At 42.1% G+C, this 16,589-nt stretch overlaps 1 protein-coding gene across 20 annotated transcripts in view, besides 7 other annotated features; it reads right to left on the reverse strand.

Annotated features, from left to right (window-relative positions):
- MTIF2 (mitochondrial translational initiation factor 2) overlaps positions 1-4,907 on the reverse strand; it is a 32,654-nt gene extending 27,747 nt beyond the window's left edge. For 2 of the 20 annotated variants that reach the window (XM_047444429.1, XM_017004162.3), the window contains exons 1-4: positions 4,828-4,907; positions 4,309-4,398; positions 3,228-3,294; positions 2,040-2,177 (exon numbers count right to left, since the gene is read on the reverse strand). The gene's annotated coding sequence lies outside the window, so the exon portion shown is untranslated. Of the gene's footprint in view, positions 1-2,039; positions 2,178-3,227; positions 3,295-4,236; positions 4,399-4,475 lie in introns of all 20 variants that reach the window. The other 18 variants (XM_047444426.1, NM_001321003.1, XM_047444427.1 and 15 more) reach the window with 12 other exon arrangements.
- Positions 4,833-4,982: an enhancer, noted in NCBI's record as "active region_15779". NCBI's record gives its function as "activates an Ori minimal core promoter by ATAC-STARR-seq in GM12878 lymphoblastoid cells {active_cell/tissue: GM12878}" and the evidence as "EXISTENCE:reporter gene assay evidence [ECO:0000049][PMID:35858748]".
- Positions 4,833-5,751: a biological region, named in NCBI's record as "H3K27ac-H3K4me1 hESC enhancer GRCh37_chr2:55496405-55497228".
- Positions 4,928-5,751: an enhancer, noted in NCBI's record as "H3K27ac-H3K4me1 hESC enhancer chr2:55496405-55497228 (GRCh37/hg19 assembly coordinates)". NCBI's record gives its function as "activates a minimal SCP1, AML or CMV promoter by ChIP-STARR-seq in primed H9 embryonic stem cells {active_cell/tissue: H9 hESC(primed)}" and the evidence as "EXISTENCE:reporter gene assay evidence [ECO:0000049][PMID:30033119]".
- Positions 14,972-15,266: a silencer, noted in NCBI's record as "tiled region #8685; HepG2 Repressive non-DNase unmatched - State 2:TssF". NCBI's record gives its function as "represses a minimal TATA promoter and a strong SV40 promoter by Sharpr-MPRA in HepG2 cells {active_cell/tissue: HepG2}" and the evidence as "EXISTENCE:reporter gene assay evidence [ECO:0000049][PMID:27701403]".
- Positions 14,972-15,981: a biological region, named in NCBI's record as "Sharpr-MPRA regulatory regions 8685 and 822".
- Positions 14,981-15,981: an enhancer, noted in NCBI's record as "OCT4-NANOG-H3K27ac hESC enhancer chr2:55506458-55507458 (GRCh37/hg19 assembly coordinates)". NCBI's record gives its function as "activates a minimal SCP1, AML or CMV promoter by ChIP-STARR-seq in naive and primed H9 embryonic stem cells {active_cell/tissue: H9 hESC(naive and primed)}" and the evidence as "EXISTENCE:reporter gene assay evidence [ECO:0000049][PMID:30033119]".
- Positions 15,252-15,546: a silencer, noted in NCBI's record as "tiled region #822; K562 Repressive non-DNase unmatched - State 5:Enh". NCBI's record gives its function as "represses a minimal TATA promoter and a strong SV40 promoter by Sharpr-MPRA in K562 cells {active_cell/tissue: K562}" and the evidence as "EXISTENCE:reporter gene assay evidence [ECO:0000049][PMID:27701403]".

Raw genomic sequence — 16,589 nt, forward strand, 5'->3', positions numbered from 1 at the left:
TCACCTCAGCCTCCCTAATAGCTGGGACTAGAGGTGCGCACCACTATGCCCAGATAATTTTTTGTTTGTTTTTTTGGTAGAGATGGTGTTTCACCACATTGTCTAGGTTAGTCTCAAACTCCCGGGATCTAGTGATCCACCTTGGCCTCCCACAGTGTTGAAATTACAGGCATGAGCCACCATGCCCAGCCTTACTTTATTTCTTACACTCTTAGAGTCTCTACACTCCTACCTCTCAAGCTTTTGTTATTGTAACCCACCTGTCATCTCTAATGGTTTCTCATCTCAGCTCTGAAACTTTGCACACACTTCCTCTAGTTGGAATCGTCTTTGAACTCTTAACACTTTTCCATCTTCCCATCTCACCCCCTAAAAAAAGATGCTTTATAGTAGGAAGAAGACACCCAATATTTATTGAATAATGCCTTTTGAGTATTATTCTTAGAATAAAAGAAGAGTTTTTTTGAGAAAAAACTGTAACAGAACTCATTAGTAATATAGTTCTTTTCCTCCCCGTGGCCTCTATTGCCTCTGCTCTCAAGACTGCATTTCTATGGCTTTGCTTTTCAGTTTTTAAGGACAGGAACGACAAAAACAACGTAAAAAGAACATGTTTTCCAGCTGGGTGTGGTGGCTCATGCCTGTAATCCCAGCACTTTGGGAGGCCGAGGTGGGCGGATCACCTCAGGTCAGGAGTTCGAGACTAGCCTGGCCAACGTCGTGAAACCCTGTCTCTACTAAAAATACAAAAATCAGCCGGACATGGTGGCGGGCGCCTGCAATCCCAGCTACCCAGAAGGCTGAGGCAGGAGAATCACTTGAACCCGGGAGGTCGAGGTTGCAGTGAGCCGAGATCATGCCATTGCACTCTAGCCTGGACGACAAGAACAAAACTCTGTCTTGAAAAAAAAAAAAAAAATGAAGAAGAACATGTTTTCTTCTTAGGAAACATTTCCTAAGTACCATATGCCAGGCTTTCTGCTTGATATTGTTGATTCAAAGTTTAATAAGCCAGGTTCCATTCCACAAACAGTTCATTGTCGTTAAAGCAAGCTTGCCAATACAATGAATCTCAGGCACACGAGACACTACCTATGATGACTGATTATAACCTAGGGTCGTGTTTTCATTGCAATAATATGCAAAATTATTTCTATAAATTGTAAAGTCATTTTAAGGTTTTTTTTGTTTGTCTGTTTGCTTTTCAATGGAGAGTACATTTCCAAGTAGTGGGTATAGCCTTTTAGACTCTTCAGTATAGATTTTCTTTTACTCACTACTCAAAAATAACTTTAGTTAACATTTTAATATATATATTTTCAACTCTTTTCTTTGTGCTTTTATCTATTTTACTCACAAAAATAAGGTCATATTAATTTTGTTTTACAACTTTTTACACTAAAGAATACATTGTGAATATTATTTTATATCATTAAACATTACTAATCAGCCCTTTGTATCCATGTGTTCCACATTTGTGGATTCAAACAATTGTGGATCGAAAATTTTTTTAATTTTTTAAAAAGATGGTTCTGTCTCTACTGAATATGTACACCTTTTTCCTTGTCATTATTCCCTAAAGTATACTGTTTACATAGTATTTGCTTTGTATTAGGTATCATAAGTAATCTAGAGATGACATGAAGTATACAATGGTATGTGCTTAGGTTACATGTAAATATACGCCATTTTATATAAGGAACTTGGACATCTGTAAATTTTGGCATGCGGCAGCGGGGGTCCTGGAACCAATGCCCCATAGATACTGAGAGACACATATATTCTTCAGCATTACAAAAAAAAAAGAATGGAAATTATGAACTATTTCAATGCGTTTACCTTAACCATATAAAGCTATCTTGAACAAAATTATAAACTTTTACAAAGCCTTAAAATTTTTGGCCAGGCGCAGTGGCTCATGCCTGTAATCTCAGCACTGTGGGAGGCCAAGGCAGGCAGATCATTTGAGGTCAGGAGTTCGACGCCAGCCTGACCGACATGGTGAAACCCCGTCTCTATTAAAAATACAAAAAAATTACCTGGGCGTGGTGGCACATGCCTGTAGTCCCAGCTACTTGGGAGGCTGAGGCAGGAGAATTTCTTGAACCCGGGAGACAGAGGTTGCAGTGAGCCAAGATCACGCCACTGCACTCCAGCCGGGGAGACAGAGCGAGACTCTGTCTCAAAAAAAAAAAAAATTTTTTTTTAATGATTTATCTCATAATATGGCATTTCTACAATATGCTTATATTTTATATTTATATACAACATATATATTATATAAATATATTTATATTTTCTACTAGATAGTCTTTAAAATTGTTCACAAATGATAATAGTTATTTGATGTGACCAAAGAAATTAAGGCTCTGGACGGGTGATCTTTGCTAGATAACTAGGCATTAAATGCTACATTTCATTCTTTTTTTTTTTTTTTTTTTTTTCAGATGGAGTCTCGCTCTGTTGCCCAGGGTGGAGTTCAGTGGTGTGATCTCAGCCCACTGCAACCTCTGCCTCCTGGGTTCAAGCAATTTTCTCCAGCCTTAGCCTCCCAAGTAGCTTGAACTACAGGTGTGTGCCACCGTGTCAGGCTAATTTTTGTATTTTTAGTAGACACCGGGTTTTACCATGTTGGCCAGGCTAGTCTCAAACTCCTGACCTCAGGTGATCCACCTGTCTCAGCCTCCCAAAGTGCTGGGATTACAGGCGTGAGCCACCACGCCTAGCCTAAATGTTACATTTCAACCAATCTTCCCAAAGTGTATTTTATGGTTCTGACATAGTAAATGTATGGTTCTGACATGGTAAATAGAATATACTGAATTTTTTTTTTTGAGATGGAGTTTTGCTCATCGCTCAGGCTGGAGTGCAATGGCGTGATCTTGGCTCACTACAACCTCCACCTGCTGGGTTCAGGGGATTCTCCTGCCTCAGCCTCCCAAGTCGCTGGGATTACAGGTGCCTGCCAGCACACCCGGCTAATTATTTTGTATTTTTAGTAGAGACGGGGTTTCACCGTGTTGGCCAGGCTGGTCTTGAACTCCTGACCTCAGGTGATCTATCCGCCTTGGCCTCCCAAAGTGCTGGGATTACAGGCGTGAGCCACCGCGCCTGGCCTATACTGAATATTTTTTAAAAGAAAGAAAAGAAATGATAACAGAAACAAGTACAGTATAGCAAAGAAAGTATCTTATTAGGCAACAAAGGAACCTTAGGTGGACACTCACTCTGACAGTCAGTGTTATCTGGACTCAGCAAGTCACTTGTTTCCTATGGGCCTCATTTTCCGGATCTCTGTTAAAAATAAATAAATAAATAAGTGTTTGAATATCTGTCCTTCCTATTACAAGACTAAGAGGAGAAAATGAGATGATGTATATACTTTATCATCAGCTATTTTAAAACCATATCACATGTCTTGATACTCGCTTATAAGCTTTGAGGATTCATTGCTTATAAGTTAAAAATATTCACAAGTCATTAACTTGTTTACCTTCGGACAATTATGAGGTTGTGTATGTGTGTGTAATCGAGCAAGCATTTTACCTTAAAAGGCTTATTCGAGTAAAGATCAAGGAAAAATCTAACTTAATGCCAACGAAATAAACACATTAAGATTTAGAAATTCAGGCTGGGCGTGATGGCTCATGCCTGTAATCCTAGCACTTTGGGAGGTCGAGGCGGGCGGATCACCTGAGGTCAGGAGTTCGAGACCAGCCTGGCCAACATGGTGAAACCCCCTCTCTACTAAAAGTACAAAAATTAGCCGGGTACGGTGGCGGGCGCCTGTAATCCCAGCGACTTGGGAGGCTGAGGCAGGAGAATCGCTTGAACCCAGGAGGCAGAGACTGCAGTGAGCCGAGATCAGGCCACTGCACTCCAGCCTGGGCGACAGTGAGACTCTGTCTAAAGAAAAAAAAAAGAAGATTTGGAAATTCATTCAATAGTATTTACACACATTAAATACTTCTAAGAATGGCACATGGAAAATATCTTATTTACGTTTGTGCCCCTGGACCAAGAAGTAGAGTGCTCAGGTAACACAGGATTCCTTGAGAAAATAATTTTTAAATCAGTATGAAACCAGATTTGAGAAGAGCACAGATTAATGGAGTGGGAGGAAGGACCCTACGAGATATTAACCAAAGCACAGATATGTAATTGAGGCAGGAACTGGAAAGACACATTGGAGGCAATAACCCAAATGTCAAAACTGGAAGGAAACTTGTCACTTACTCCAAGCTCCTCATTTTACAGAAAAGGAAACGGAAATCCAGAAGGGTCAAAAAAGCTTCTCCAATGTCATACCGCTAGTTAATGGCAGTCAAGACTAGAACCCAGACGTTCTGACTCCCAGTACGGTGTTGTTTCGCCGCTAGGATATCCTTGTCAAGGAATCTGAAAAAAGTATGTTGCAAATACGTAGTTGCGTTAGGGAAAACGTCTGAATGTGAGCTGGAAGCTTTGGAACTTACCAGAAAGGTAAAAATAAATCACTGCAGAAAAATTACGGATCTGGGGTGGCTCGCCTCAAATTGGAGCCCAGAAGGCCTTGGGCCCATGGGAGGCTGGGAAGTGAGGACCTGCACCCACAGCCGCGCGCGAGGAGGGGAAGCCGGCCAGCCGCTTCCGAGAGAACAGTGCACATGCCTTCGTGAATGCCTAACGTGGGCTCACGCAGGGATTAAATGCATCTTGGAAAGGCTTCCGAACGCACAATGTTTATGAAGTTCGCGTGATTTGTGCCACTGACACGTTAGGCGAAACAACACACACCACCTGCACCGGACAACCCTGGTTAAGGGATCCTACCCACTTAACTCCTACCTACAGCCCCGGGCCCCTGGATTCTGAGCACGGGCGGAGATCACCTTCTGGACCCGGAAGAATGGTCGGTAGGTCAGTCCGTCCCCGCTACGGTCCCCGCCGGGCTTCCGGTCCCGCTGGAAAAGGTTCTTTCCGGAATTCAGAGAGTTGCTGTCGCCGCTGGGGGTGGGACTGTCTGCGGTGTCCGCGGCGGGCGTCCAGCCTGGGAGGCGCTGGTTCAACCTGTGGCTCCTCCCAGGGTCAGCCGCGCGTGGTGAATCGTTTCTGCAGGTCCCTTCCATTTCTTACTTTCCTTTCCTTTCTTTCTCTCTTTCCTTTTTTTCTTTCTGTCCCTCTCCTTTCTTTCCTTCCTTCCTTTCTTCATTTCTTCCTTCCTTTCCTCTTCCTTCCTTTCCGTTTTTCTTTCTCTTTTTTTTTTTTTTAAGAAAACTGCCTTTATTCAATTAGAAGTTGGAAAAATTAACTGGTACAGAAAAAAAGTGTAATCAGCTGGAGAAAAAGTGCCACCCATGAGAACTGATGGCTCCTCTGGGAGGGAATCTGGATACAGTGAGGATTTCTAGGAAGCAAATTACTTCTTCTCTGGGGCTATGAGAGGCCTCGGTGGTGCTTAACACTGTAGGAAACGTTAAATGGAGAATTGTGGGAGAAATGATACCTCCTTCAAAGATACGTGTTCCTAACAAGAAGGAAAAAACAAATGCAAGCGAACAGTGGCGGTAGAACCAGTTAGTATTGTGCGAACAGTACTTTCTGTTTTCTCCTAAGTCAGCTCGTGTGTATGGCATTAGGAGTAATAGAGCCAGAGTGCCTGGTTTCCTATCCCAGCTCATTCCTAGTGTGTGGTTGGGAATGTTTTGTCAACTGTCCATGTCCCAGTTTGTTCATCTACATTATAGTAATGACAGTAGCTAGTTCACAGGATTGTAATAAGGTTTTTGTTGTGTTTTTGTTTCTATTTGTTTTTGAGATGGAGTTTCGCTCTTGTTGCCCAGGCCGGAGTGCAATGGCACGATCTCAGCTCACCGCAACCTCTGCCTCCCGGGTTCAAGCGATTCTCCTGCCTCAGCCTCCCGAGTAGCTGGGATTACAGGCATGTGCCACCACTCCTGGCTAATTTTGTGTTTCTTGTAGAGACAGGGTTTTTCCATGTTGGTCAGGCTGGTCTCGAATTCCCTATTTCAGATGATCCGCCCACATCGGCCTCCCAAAGTGCTGGGATGACAGGCGTTAGCCACCTCTCCCAGACTGTTTTTTGTTTTTTTTGAGACAGTGTCACTCTGTCGCCCAAGCTGGAGCACAATGGCGCGATCTCGGCTCATTGCAACCAAACTCCGCTTCCTGGGTTCAAGTGATTCTCCCGCCTCAGCCTCCCGCGTAGCTGAGATTACAGGGGCACATCACCATGCCTCACTAATTCACCATGTTGGCCAAGCTGGTCTCGAACTCCTGACCTCAGGTGACTGCCCACCTAAGCCTCCCAAAGTGCTGGGATTACAGGCATGAGCCACCACGCCCGGCTGCAATAAGCTTTTAATGGGTTGATAAACTGTTGATAAGTAGTGCCTGGTTCATAGTATGTGTTTGCTGTTATGGTTATTACTGCCTGCCCCCAGAGCTTTCCCTCATCTTGCTTGGACATTATGACTTTCAGCTGGTCGTTTTGACCACAACCATCACCACCTCTCAAATATAAATATTGTTTTATTATCTCTGTCTTTTGGTAAAAGGAATTTGAGAAGAAAACAAAATCAATCAATTAATCTTTGTCTTTAAGATCTACCACTCCCCTGGGTAATTGGTATGGTACAGAAGTTCATTACTCAAAAGCATACTTGCCATTGAGGGAAGAGAGAGACCCTCTCATATTGTTTTATATTGTTTTATACTCAGTACCTGTTTTAAGAGAGAAAAAAGAAGTGAAATCAAAGACAGGCAGTCCGGCGCCAGGCCCAAAACCAGGCCTGGCTCTGCCTGGCCTAAACCCAGTAGTTAAAAATCAACTCAGGCTGGGCGCAGTGGCTCACGCCTGTAATCCCAGCGCTTTGGGAGGCCGAGGCGGGTGGATCACGAAGTCAGGAGATCGAGACCACCCTGGCTAACACGGTGAAACCCCGTCTCTACTAAATATATATTAAAAAAAATTAGCCGGGTGTGGTGGCGGGTGCCTGTAGTCCCAGCTACTTGGGACGTTGAGGCAGGAGAATGGCGTGAACCTGGGAGGCGGAGCTTGCAGTGAGCCGAGATGGCGCCACTGCACTCCAGCCTGGGTGACAGAGCGAGACTCCGTCTCAAAATAAATAAATAAATAAATAAATAAATAAATAAATAAATAAAATAAAAATCAACTCATAACCTAGAAACCGATGTTATTCATAGATTCCAGACATTGTATAGAACATTGTGAAACTCCCTGCCCTGTTCTGTTTGTCTCTGACCACCGGTGCATGCAGCCCCTGTCACGTACCCCTTGCTTGCTCAAATCAATCACGACACTTTCATGTGAAATCTTTAGTGTTGTGAACCCTTAAAAGGGACAGAAATTGTGCACTCAGGGAGCTCGGATTTTAAGGCAGTGGCTTGCCAATGCTCCCAGCTGAATAAAGCCCTTCCTTCTACAACTCGGTGTCTGAGAGGTTTTGTCTGCGGCTCATCCTGCTACACCATCATCTTACCTCCTAACTCATGCCCCCATCCCAACCTACCAACCTCTTTTTTTTCCCCACTTTCCCAATGCCTACTACAAAGGTGTGTAATCGGTGTTACTGAATGATTTAATGCAAACTCCTCTCCTGGACATTTTTTTTTTTTTGAGATGGAGTCTCACTCTGTCACCCAGGCTGGAGTGCAATGGCACGATCTCAGCCCACTGCAACCTCCGCCTCGCAGGTTCAAGCGATTCTCCTGCCTCAGCTTCCAGAGTAGCTGGGATTACAGGTGTCTGCCTCCATGCCCGGCTAATTTTTTTTGTATTTTTAGTACAATTGGCCTGGCCGGTTTTGAACTCCTGACCTGAAGTGATCTGCCCGCCTCAGCCTCCCAAAGTGCTATGATTCCAGGTGTGAGCCAGTGCGCTAGGCCTGGAAATTTTTTTTAACTGAACCTAACAGGCACAACAGTTGAAAACTATTGAAGTTTACTCCAACTGCTATCATTTTACCTACTACTCGCAGATATCTACTGAAGTTTAATTTCTGTGAGAAGTAATTCTTTGCTGTCTTACTTGGCTTGCAAGGCAGTTGAGAAACAAGCAGAAATCAGTTGGTAAACCATCAAAGTAGTTGCCAGATCTTTTTTCCACAATATTAAGGTGAAAATAACCATATATGCATCTATGTTCCTCTAATTTTCTAATCATTAAGATTTTCTAATCATGCTAATGTAGAAAATTCAAGCAATATACCAAAATATAGAAAGTAGCAAAAAAAAAAAGAAAAAAGAAGAGAATGAAAACAGTTAAAGGAACAGAGAAGCCAACCTGAAAGAGCTCCCAATGGCCAAAGCTGGAAATATTTGAGCAGCAAAATAACATAGTACCGGATTATAACCAAAAGTATCAACTAAGTATACATATGTTCATACTGATATAAATAAATAATTGAATAAATACATAGAGAAGGAACAAATCTTCCTTACAGAAGAATTCCAAATTTTATATATATATATATATATATATATATATATATATATATATATATATATATATAAAACCTTCACTAGGAAGTGAAGATTAATTCCTCTCCACCTTAGTGTGGGCGGGACTTACTAACTTGCTTCCAAAGAATACAATATGGAGGCCGGGCACGGTGGCTCACGCCTGTTAATCCCAGCACTTTGGTAGACCAAGGCAGATGGATCACGGGGTCAGGAGTTCCAGACCAGCCTGACCAACATGGCGAAACCCCGTCTCTACTAAAAATTAGCCGGGCATGGTGGCACGCGCCTGTAAGCCCAGCTACTCAGGAGGCTGAGGCAGGAGAATCGTTTGAACCTGGGAGGCGGAAGTTGTGGTGAGCCAAGTGCCGCTGCACTGCAGCCTGGGCAACAAAGCAAGACTCCGTCTCAGAAAAAAAAAACAAAAGAACACAGTATGGAAAAGGGAAAATAGTAACTTTACAGTGGAGAAACGTGGCAGACAATGCATGAACCAAGTGATCAAAGTGAACATCACCTGCAATGTCGTTTTAATATCATAGACACCCCCTGAAATGATGTGATGAGGACACTTTACCCCTGTAATATCCTTTTCAAAAACCCACAACCCTACTTTAATCATGGGGAAAACATCAGAGAAACCCAATTAAAGAGCCTTCTACGAAATACCTGACCAGTACTCTTCAAAACTGTCAAGGTTAGGAAAAGCAAGAAAGGACTCAGAAACTGTTACAGATCAGAAGAGACTAAGGAGACATAACAACTCAGTGCAATATGGTATCCTGGATAGAATCCTTTAACAGAAAAGCACATTAGTGGGAAAACTGGTGAAATCTGAATAATGTCTGTAGTTTAGTTAACAGTAATACCCCAATGTTAATTTTTTAATTTTCACAAGTGTATCATGATTAATGTAAGATGTTAACAAAATTGGGTAAAGGGCACTTGGGAACGCTCCACTATCTCAGCAACTTTTCTGTAATCTAAAATTATTCCAAAATTAAAAGGTTGATTGCTGGGTGCGGTGGCTCACGCCTGTAATCCCAACACTTTGGAAGGCCGAGGTGGGTGGATCACCTGAGGTCAGGAGTTCAAGACCAACCTAACCAACATGGAGAAACCCCATCTCTACTAAAAATACAGAATTAGCCGGGCATTGTGGTGCACGCCTGTAATCCCAGCTACTCGGGAGGCTGAGGCAGGAGAATTGCTTGAACCTGGGAGGTGGATGTTTCGGTGAGCTGAGATCGTGCCACTGCACTCCAGCCTGGGCAACAAGAGTGAAACTCCGTCTCAAACAAACAAACAAAAAAAGTTGACTTAAAAAAGAAAGAAAGGGCCAGGCACAGTAGCTCACACCTGTAATACCAGCACTTTGGAAGGCTGAGGCCAAAGGATCACTTGAGGCCAGGAGTTTGAGACCTGGACAACATGGCAAGACCCTTCTCTACAAAAAATAAAAAAATTAACTGGGCATGGTGGTGTACACCTGCAGTCCTATGCTACTCTGGAGGCCAAGGTGGGAGGATCACTTGAACTCAGGATTTCGGGCTTACAATGAGCTATGATCATGCCACTGCACTCCAGCCTGAGTGACAGAGTGAGACCCTGACTCTAAAAGGAAGGAAGGAATGCAGGGAGGGAGGAAGGAAGGAAAAAAAGATGGAGAGAGGGAGGGAAGGAAGGAAGGAAGGAGGGAGGGAGAGATGGAGAGAGGGAGGGAAGGAAGGAAGGAAGGAAGGAAGGAAGGAAGGAAGGAAGGAAGGAAAGAAAGAAAGAAAGATATCCTAAAACACGCATAAATATACATACAGATACAATGTATATTGGTGGCTCAAGCCTGTAATCCCAGCACTTTGGAAGACTAAGGCAGGTGGATCACCTGAGGTCAGGAGTTCAAGACCAGCCTGGCCAAAATGGTGAAACCCCCGTCTCTACTAAAAATACAAAAATTAGCCAGGCGTGATGGCGGCTGCCTATAATCCCAGCTACTCAGAAGGCTGAGGCAGGAGAATTGCTTGAACCTGGGAGGCAGAGGTTGCAGCGAGCAGAGGTTGTGCCACTGCCCTCCAGCCTGGGCAGTAGGGCAAGACTTTGTCTCAAATAATAATAATAATAATAATAAATATACATATGCATACAATTTTATATAAATGGGATTTATACAATACATGCTGCCTTTTGCCTTTTCAACAATATATAATGGAAATTGGCCAGCTGCAGTGGCTCATGCCTGTAATCCCAGATACTTTGGGAGGCCAAGGTGGAAGGATCACTTGAGGCCAGGAGTTCAAGACTAGCCTGGCCAAAATGGTGAAACCCTGTCTCTACTAAAAATACAAAAATTAGCTGGGTGTGGTGGCATGTACCTGTAGTCCTAGCTACTTGGGAGGCTGAGGTGAGAGGATTGCCTGGGAGGCTGAGGTTGCAGTGAGCCAAGATCACGCCACTGCAATCCAGCCTGAATGACAGAGGGAGACCCTGTCTCACAAAACAACCAAAAAAAGGTGTGAACTGTGTAACTTTGCAGATTATTGGTATTTATTCTAAGGAATACATGAAACAATTATGCATATATGTGTATATATGTGTGTGTGTGTATGTATATATGTATATATATGTATATATATATACATATATATGTATATATATATATACATATATATGTGTATATATATGTATATATGTATATATATGTATATATATGTACATATATGTATATATATACACACATATATATATATTCACCTAGAGAGAGAAATACACTTATAGCCTTATTTGTAATTATATTGAAAATTTGGAAATAACTAACATTAGGTCATTGGACATTGGATATTTCCAAATTTGGAGTTGGATACGTAAATGGAATATTATACAGCCATTATAAGTAATAAAGTAGATCTGTTGACATGGATACTTAGATGAAAACAGAAAAGCAGATTATAAAATATATAATTCTGTCTTGATCAGAAAAATTAGAAATAAATAGCATTACCAGCCTGAGCAACATAGGGAGACCCCCATCTCTACAAAAACTAAAAATATACAAAATTAGCTGAGTGCAGTGGTGTGTGCCTGGAGTCTCATATACTTGGAAGGCTGAGGTGGGAGAATTGCTTGAGCCCAGGAGGTCAAGGCTGCAGTAAGCTGTGATCATGCCACTGCACTCCACCCTGGGCAACACAGAGCAAGACCTTGTCCCAAAACAAACAAAACAAAACAATCTTTTAGAAATAAACAGCATTAGAGTATATACATTATGTGTCCAATGTGAATATTTTTATATACCTGTGATTTAAATTTTTGTATCTTCATATGTGGTCTAATTTTTTTTAACAATCTATATATATGTTGTTAACTTGTCTTTATTTTTAAAGCGTAGTATTAAAACATTTATTTAAAGAAATAGGGGGCTGGGCTTGGTGGCTCACGCCTGTAATCTCAGCACTTTGGGAGGCCGAGGCGGGCGGATCACGAGGTCAGGAGATCAAGACCATCCTGGCTAACACGGTGAAACCCCATCTCTACTAAAAATACAAAAATTAGCCAGGCGCAATGGCAGGTGCCTGTAATCCCAGCTACTCAGGAGGCTGAGGCAGGAGAATTGCTTGAACCTGGGCAGCAGAGGTTGCAGCGAGCCGAGATTGCATCACTGCACTATAGCCTGAGTGACAGAGAGAGACTGCATCTCAAAAAAAAAAAAAAAAATGCATGCAACTTGTTAGAAAAGACACTATTTTATGTTTGGGAAAAATACTGAATATGAGTTTGTTTTTAATTGAACTGGCCCTTTTTGTTCTTAAAGCCAACACATTCCAAAATATATTTATTGACATTTACTCAAATCAGTATTTACCATCAATAAGTAAATCCATCCAGCAGGGATAGAGGAATAATATGTGATTTCTGATCTCAACTTAATATTTTTATTAAAATTTATGCAAATATATATTACTTGCAAGTTAATTAAGGCATTAAAATCATAGGAAACTTCTCTTGGCCAGTAAGACTAGGACAGAAATTCCAAAGTAGTTCCCACAAACCTAATCCAGTTGAAGCAATCACTGAAATGCATGACTTAAAATATCCGTAGTCCATACATGCAAAGTAGGAAAAGTACCTCTGTTACAGCACTTTTGTATGGAAGTCAGTTTTCTTGGGTTGCTATGAGAACCACCTGCAGACCATGTAATAATATTGAATATATGGCCAGGTGTGGTGGCTCACGCCTGTAATCCCAGCACTTTGGGAGGCCAAGGCGGGTGGATCACCTGAGGTCAGGAGTTTGAGACCAGTCTGACTAACATGGTGAAACCCCATCTCTACTAAATACAAAAATTAGCCAGGCGTGGTGGCGGGCACCTGTAATTCCAGCTACTTGGGAGGCTGAGGCAGGAGAATTGCTTGAACCAGGGAGGTGGAGGTTGCAGTGAGCTGAGATTGTGCCACGGCACTCCGGCCTGGGTGACAAGACTCCGTCTCAAAAAAAAAAAACAAAAAAGGAAAAACAAACAAGCAAAAACCCCTGAATATGTGGCTGTATTCATTAATTTAGTGGTCTAGGTAGACCCAGAAAATTAAGTCTGATTTAAAGAACAACTCAGGGCAGGTCTTGTTCACCTGACCTTCTTCTGCACGCTTCCTGAATTGCAGTAATTGTGGCTCTCAGGAGTTACACATTGGGAGTTTACAACACAGCCTGGGCTCGGCTGTGTCTTCTGTAAACAGTGCTTGTCCAAAGTAAAGCTTCCTTATAACCACACAATTTTAAATGGGTGTTTTAAAGTGAACAAAAAAGAAAAAAACATGCTCCTTCTCTGCTTAACCCAGTTGTCGTCTACTATGTAGATTTTGTTCACATTGCATGAAACCAGTGTTTTCCCAGGCAAGCAAGCAATGTGTTCATCCATTTTACGGTTTAATTAGAAAGAAATTACATTCCATATAACCAGTTAACTGGTTATTACCTTTTTTTTTTTTGAGACAAGTTTCACTTTTTCCTTTCTTCCTTCCTTCCTTCTTTCCTTCCCACCCTCCCTTTTTCATTTCTTTTTTTTTTTCTTTCTTTCCTTTTTATTTTTTGACTGGGACTACGGGCATGCACCACCACGCCCGGCTAATTTTTGTATTTTTAATGGAGGCAGGATTTCACCATGTTGGCCAGGCTGGTCTCGAACTCCTGACCTCAGGTGATTCGCCCTCCTTGGCCTCCCAAAGTGTTGGGATTGCAGGCATGAGCCACCATGCCCGGCCTGCTATTTCTTCAGAGGGTGATCTCTGCTGCTGTTCTAATTTCATTCTTAGAAGGAAACATACTGAAAAAACTGAGCCTACCACACCTTAAAAACCAAAGTAAATTTTAAATAAGGAATTGAATATTGTTAAGAAAAAGAAAAGACTGAATATTCTATTGTTAGAGGTTAACTTTCTAAATTTAGATCAGAATAAAAAGAATGACATTTAGTTATGTAAAATTGGGTAACTTTTGTACATAAAACGGAACTAAAACCAACTGAAGGATATATGACAAAAAGCTCATAATTTCATTATATGAAGAGCTTGTATAGGAAGGTAAAAACCACTGATATTCATTCAGTGGCTAAATGAGCCAAGAGATGATGAACAAGCTAATTCACAAATGGGGAAATAAAATAATAAACATGGAAAAGTGTCCAGGGCCTTCATAATCAGGGAAATGCACATTAAATGAGGTACATTAAATTTGTCCAATAAATTTGCAAATTAAAAAATATATACTGTAAATTTGGGCAAAAATATAGTAAAATAGATTAATTCATACATTGCTAATTATACATTATAATAATTTTTGGAAAGCAACTTAGAATGTTATGATTCACTAACAACAAGGATGTCCACCAATATGGAGATGGTTAAGAAAATTATTAGATTGGTGCAAAAGTAATCGCGGTTTTTGCCATTCAAAGTAATGGCTAATATCAGCAGGGCACGGTGGCTCTGGGCGTTTTGGGAGGCCGAGGTGGGCGGATCACTTGAGGTAAGGAGTTCAAGACCAGCCTGGCCAACATGGTGAAACCCCATCTCTACTAAAAATACAAAAATTAGCCCGGCATGGTGGTGTGCACCTGTAATCCCAGCTACTCACGAGGCTGAGGCAGGAGAATCGCTTGAATCTGGGAGGCAGAGATCACGCCACTGTACTGTAGCCTGGGTGATAGAGCTACCCTGTCTGAAAACAAAAACAAAAACAAAACATAATGGCTAATATGACCCAGCAACACAATATATCTTTATTAAAGAAAGACACTGTGGCAACAGAGGAAAATGCTTATAAGTAATAAAAAGGCAGGACACAAAATTTAATATGTAGGAAGTTTCAACTATCTGAAAAATTCATTATGTATAGCCAAAATAACAAGAATAAAGGAAACAAGACTGGAAAGATACACCAAAATGGCAATAACATTGCTGTGGGGAAAAGAAAGAGAGATCAGATTGTTACTGTGTCTGTGTAGAAAGAACTAGACATGGGAGACTCCATTTTGTTCTGTACTAAGAAAAATTCTTCTGCCTTGAGATGCTGTTCATCTATAACCCTACCCCCAACCCCGTGCTCTCTGAAACATGTGCTGTGTCAACTCAGGGTTAAATAAGGGCTGTGCAAGATGCGCTTTGTTAAACAGATGCTTGAAGGCAGCATGCTCATTAAGAGTCATCACCACTCCCTAATCTCAAGTACCCAGGGACAGGAACACTACGGAAGGCGGAAGGCTGCAGGGACCTCTGCCTAGGAAAGCCAGGTATTGTCCAAGATTTCTCCCCATGTGATAGTCTGAAATATGGCCTCGTGGGAAGGGAAAGACCTGACCGTCCCCCAGCCCGACACCAATAAAGGGTCTGTGCTGAGGAGGATTAGTTTAAGAGGAAGGAATGCCTCTTTGCAGTTGAGACAAGAGGAAGGCATGTGTCTCCTGCCCGTCCCTGGGCAATGGAATGTCTCCGTATAAAACCCGATTGTATATTCCATCTACTGAGATAGGGGAAAACCGCCTTAGGGCTGGAGGTGGGACATGCGGGCAACAATACTGCTCTGTAAGGCATTGAGATGTTTATGTGTATGCATATCTAAAGCACAGCACTTAATTCTTTACCTTGTCTATGATGCAGAGACCTTTGTTCATGTGTTTATCTGCTGACCTTCTCTCCACTATTATCTTATGACCCTGACACATCCCCCTCTCCGAGAAACACCCAAGAATGATCAATAAATACTAAGAGAACTCGGAGGTCAGCGGGATCCTCCGTATGCTGAACGCTGGTGCCCTGGGCCCCCTTATTTGTTTCTCTATACTTTGTGTCTTTTTCTTTTCCAAGTCTCTCGTTCAACCTAATGAGAAACACCCACAGGTGTGGAGGGGCAACCCACCCCTTCAATTGCATGAGCACCATGAGATTCTGAGTGATCTTTCCCCACTTTCCTGTTTTCTAAATCCTCTGTAATGTGATACATTGCTTTTGTTGTTGATCTGAATTTAGCAGGCCATGGGAAGTGTGGCCTGTTGATCCTGTAATCAGAGATCAAATAATTAGATGGAGTTTTTGAAGGGAAACCATGATTTAATCATTAAAGAGGTAGGTTAAACTGAGACATTTTGAAATTGTGCTATCCAAGGCCAATTCTGGGTGAAACTGTGAGGTTGACTTTGAATTCCTCCTCTTTTGTAGCTTCCTCCAGGGCTGCAGGTAAGGACTATGACATTTTACTGTGTCTTAAGAGGCTTCCTTCTCCAGCCGTTCAGTTTGCACCCCAGAAATGACCCATTCACACTAAGGTTAAATATCCTTAGGTATATCTATGTGTTATCTGGGATTCGAGCCTTAATCTAAATTCATAAATGAACTTCTAAGGTGGAATTCCAGGCCTCATTCAAGTGGGGAGTGTTTCCCAGGATAGCTGTGTTTGAAATGCTTGTTCCCCGGTGCTGTAAAGAAATAGCACTTGAACATTAATTTATTTAGTAAGGCCATTTTTACTTCCTGCAGAAAGGGTACACTTGCCAGCAGTTTTGCCAGGAGAGTACACCCAACAAAGGAGACAGGGTCATTTATAACCTGACACGTCCTCCGTA

The sequence above is a fragment of the Homo sapiens genome, chromosome 2 (genome assembly GCF_000001405.40).
Source record: "Homo sapiens chromosome 2, GRCh38.p14 Primary Assembly".
NCBI classification, from domain to species: domain Eukaryota; kingdom Metazoa; phylum Chordata; class Mammalia; order Primates; family Hominidae; genus Homo; species Homo sapiens.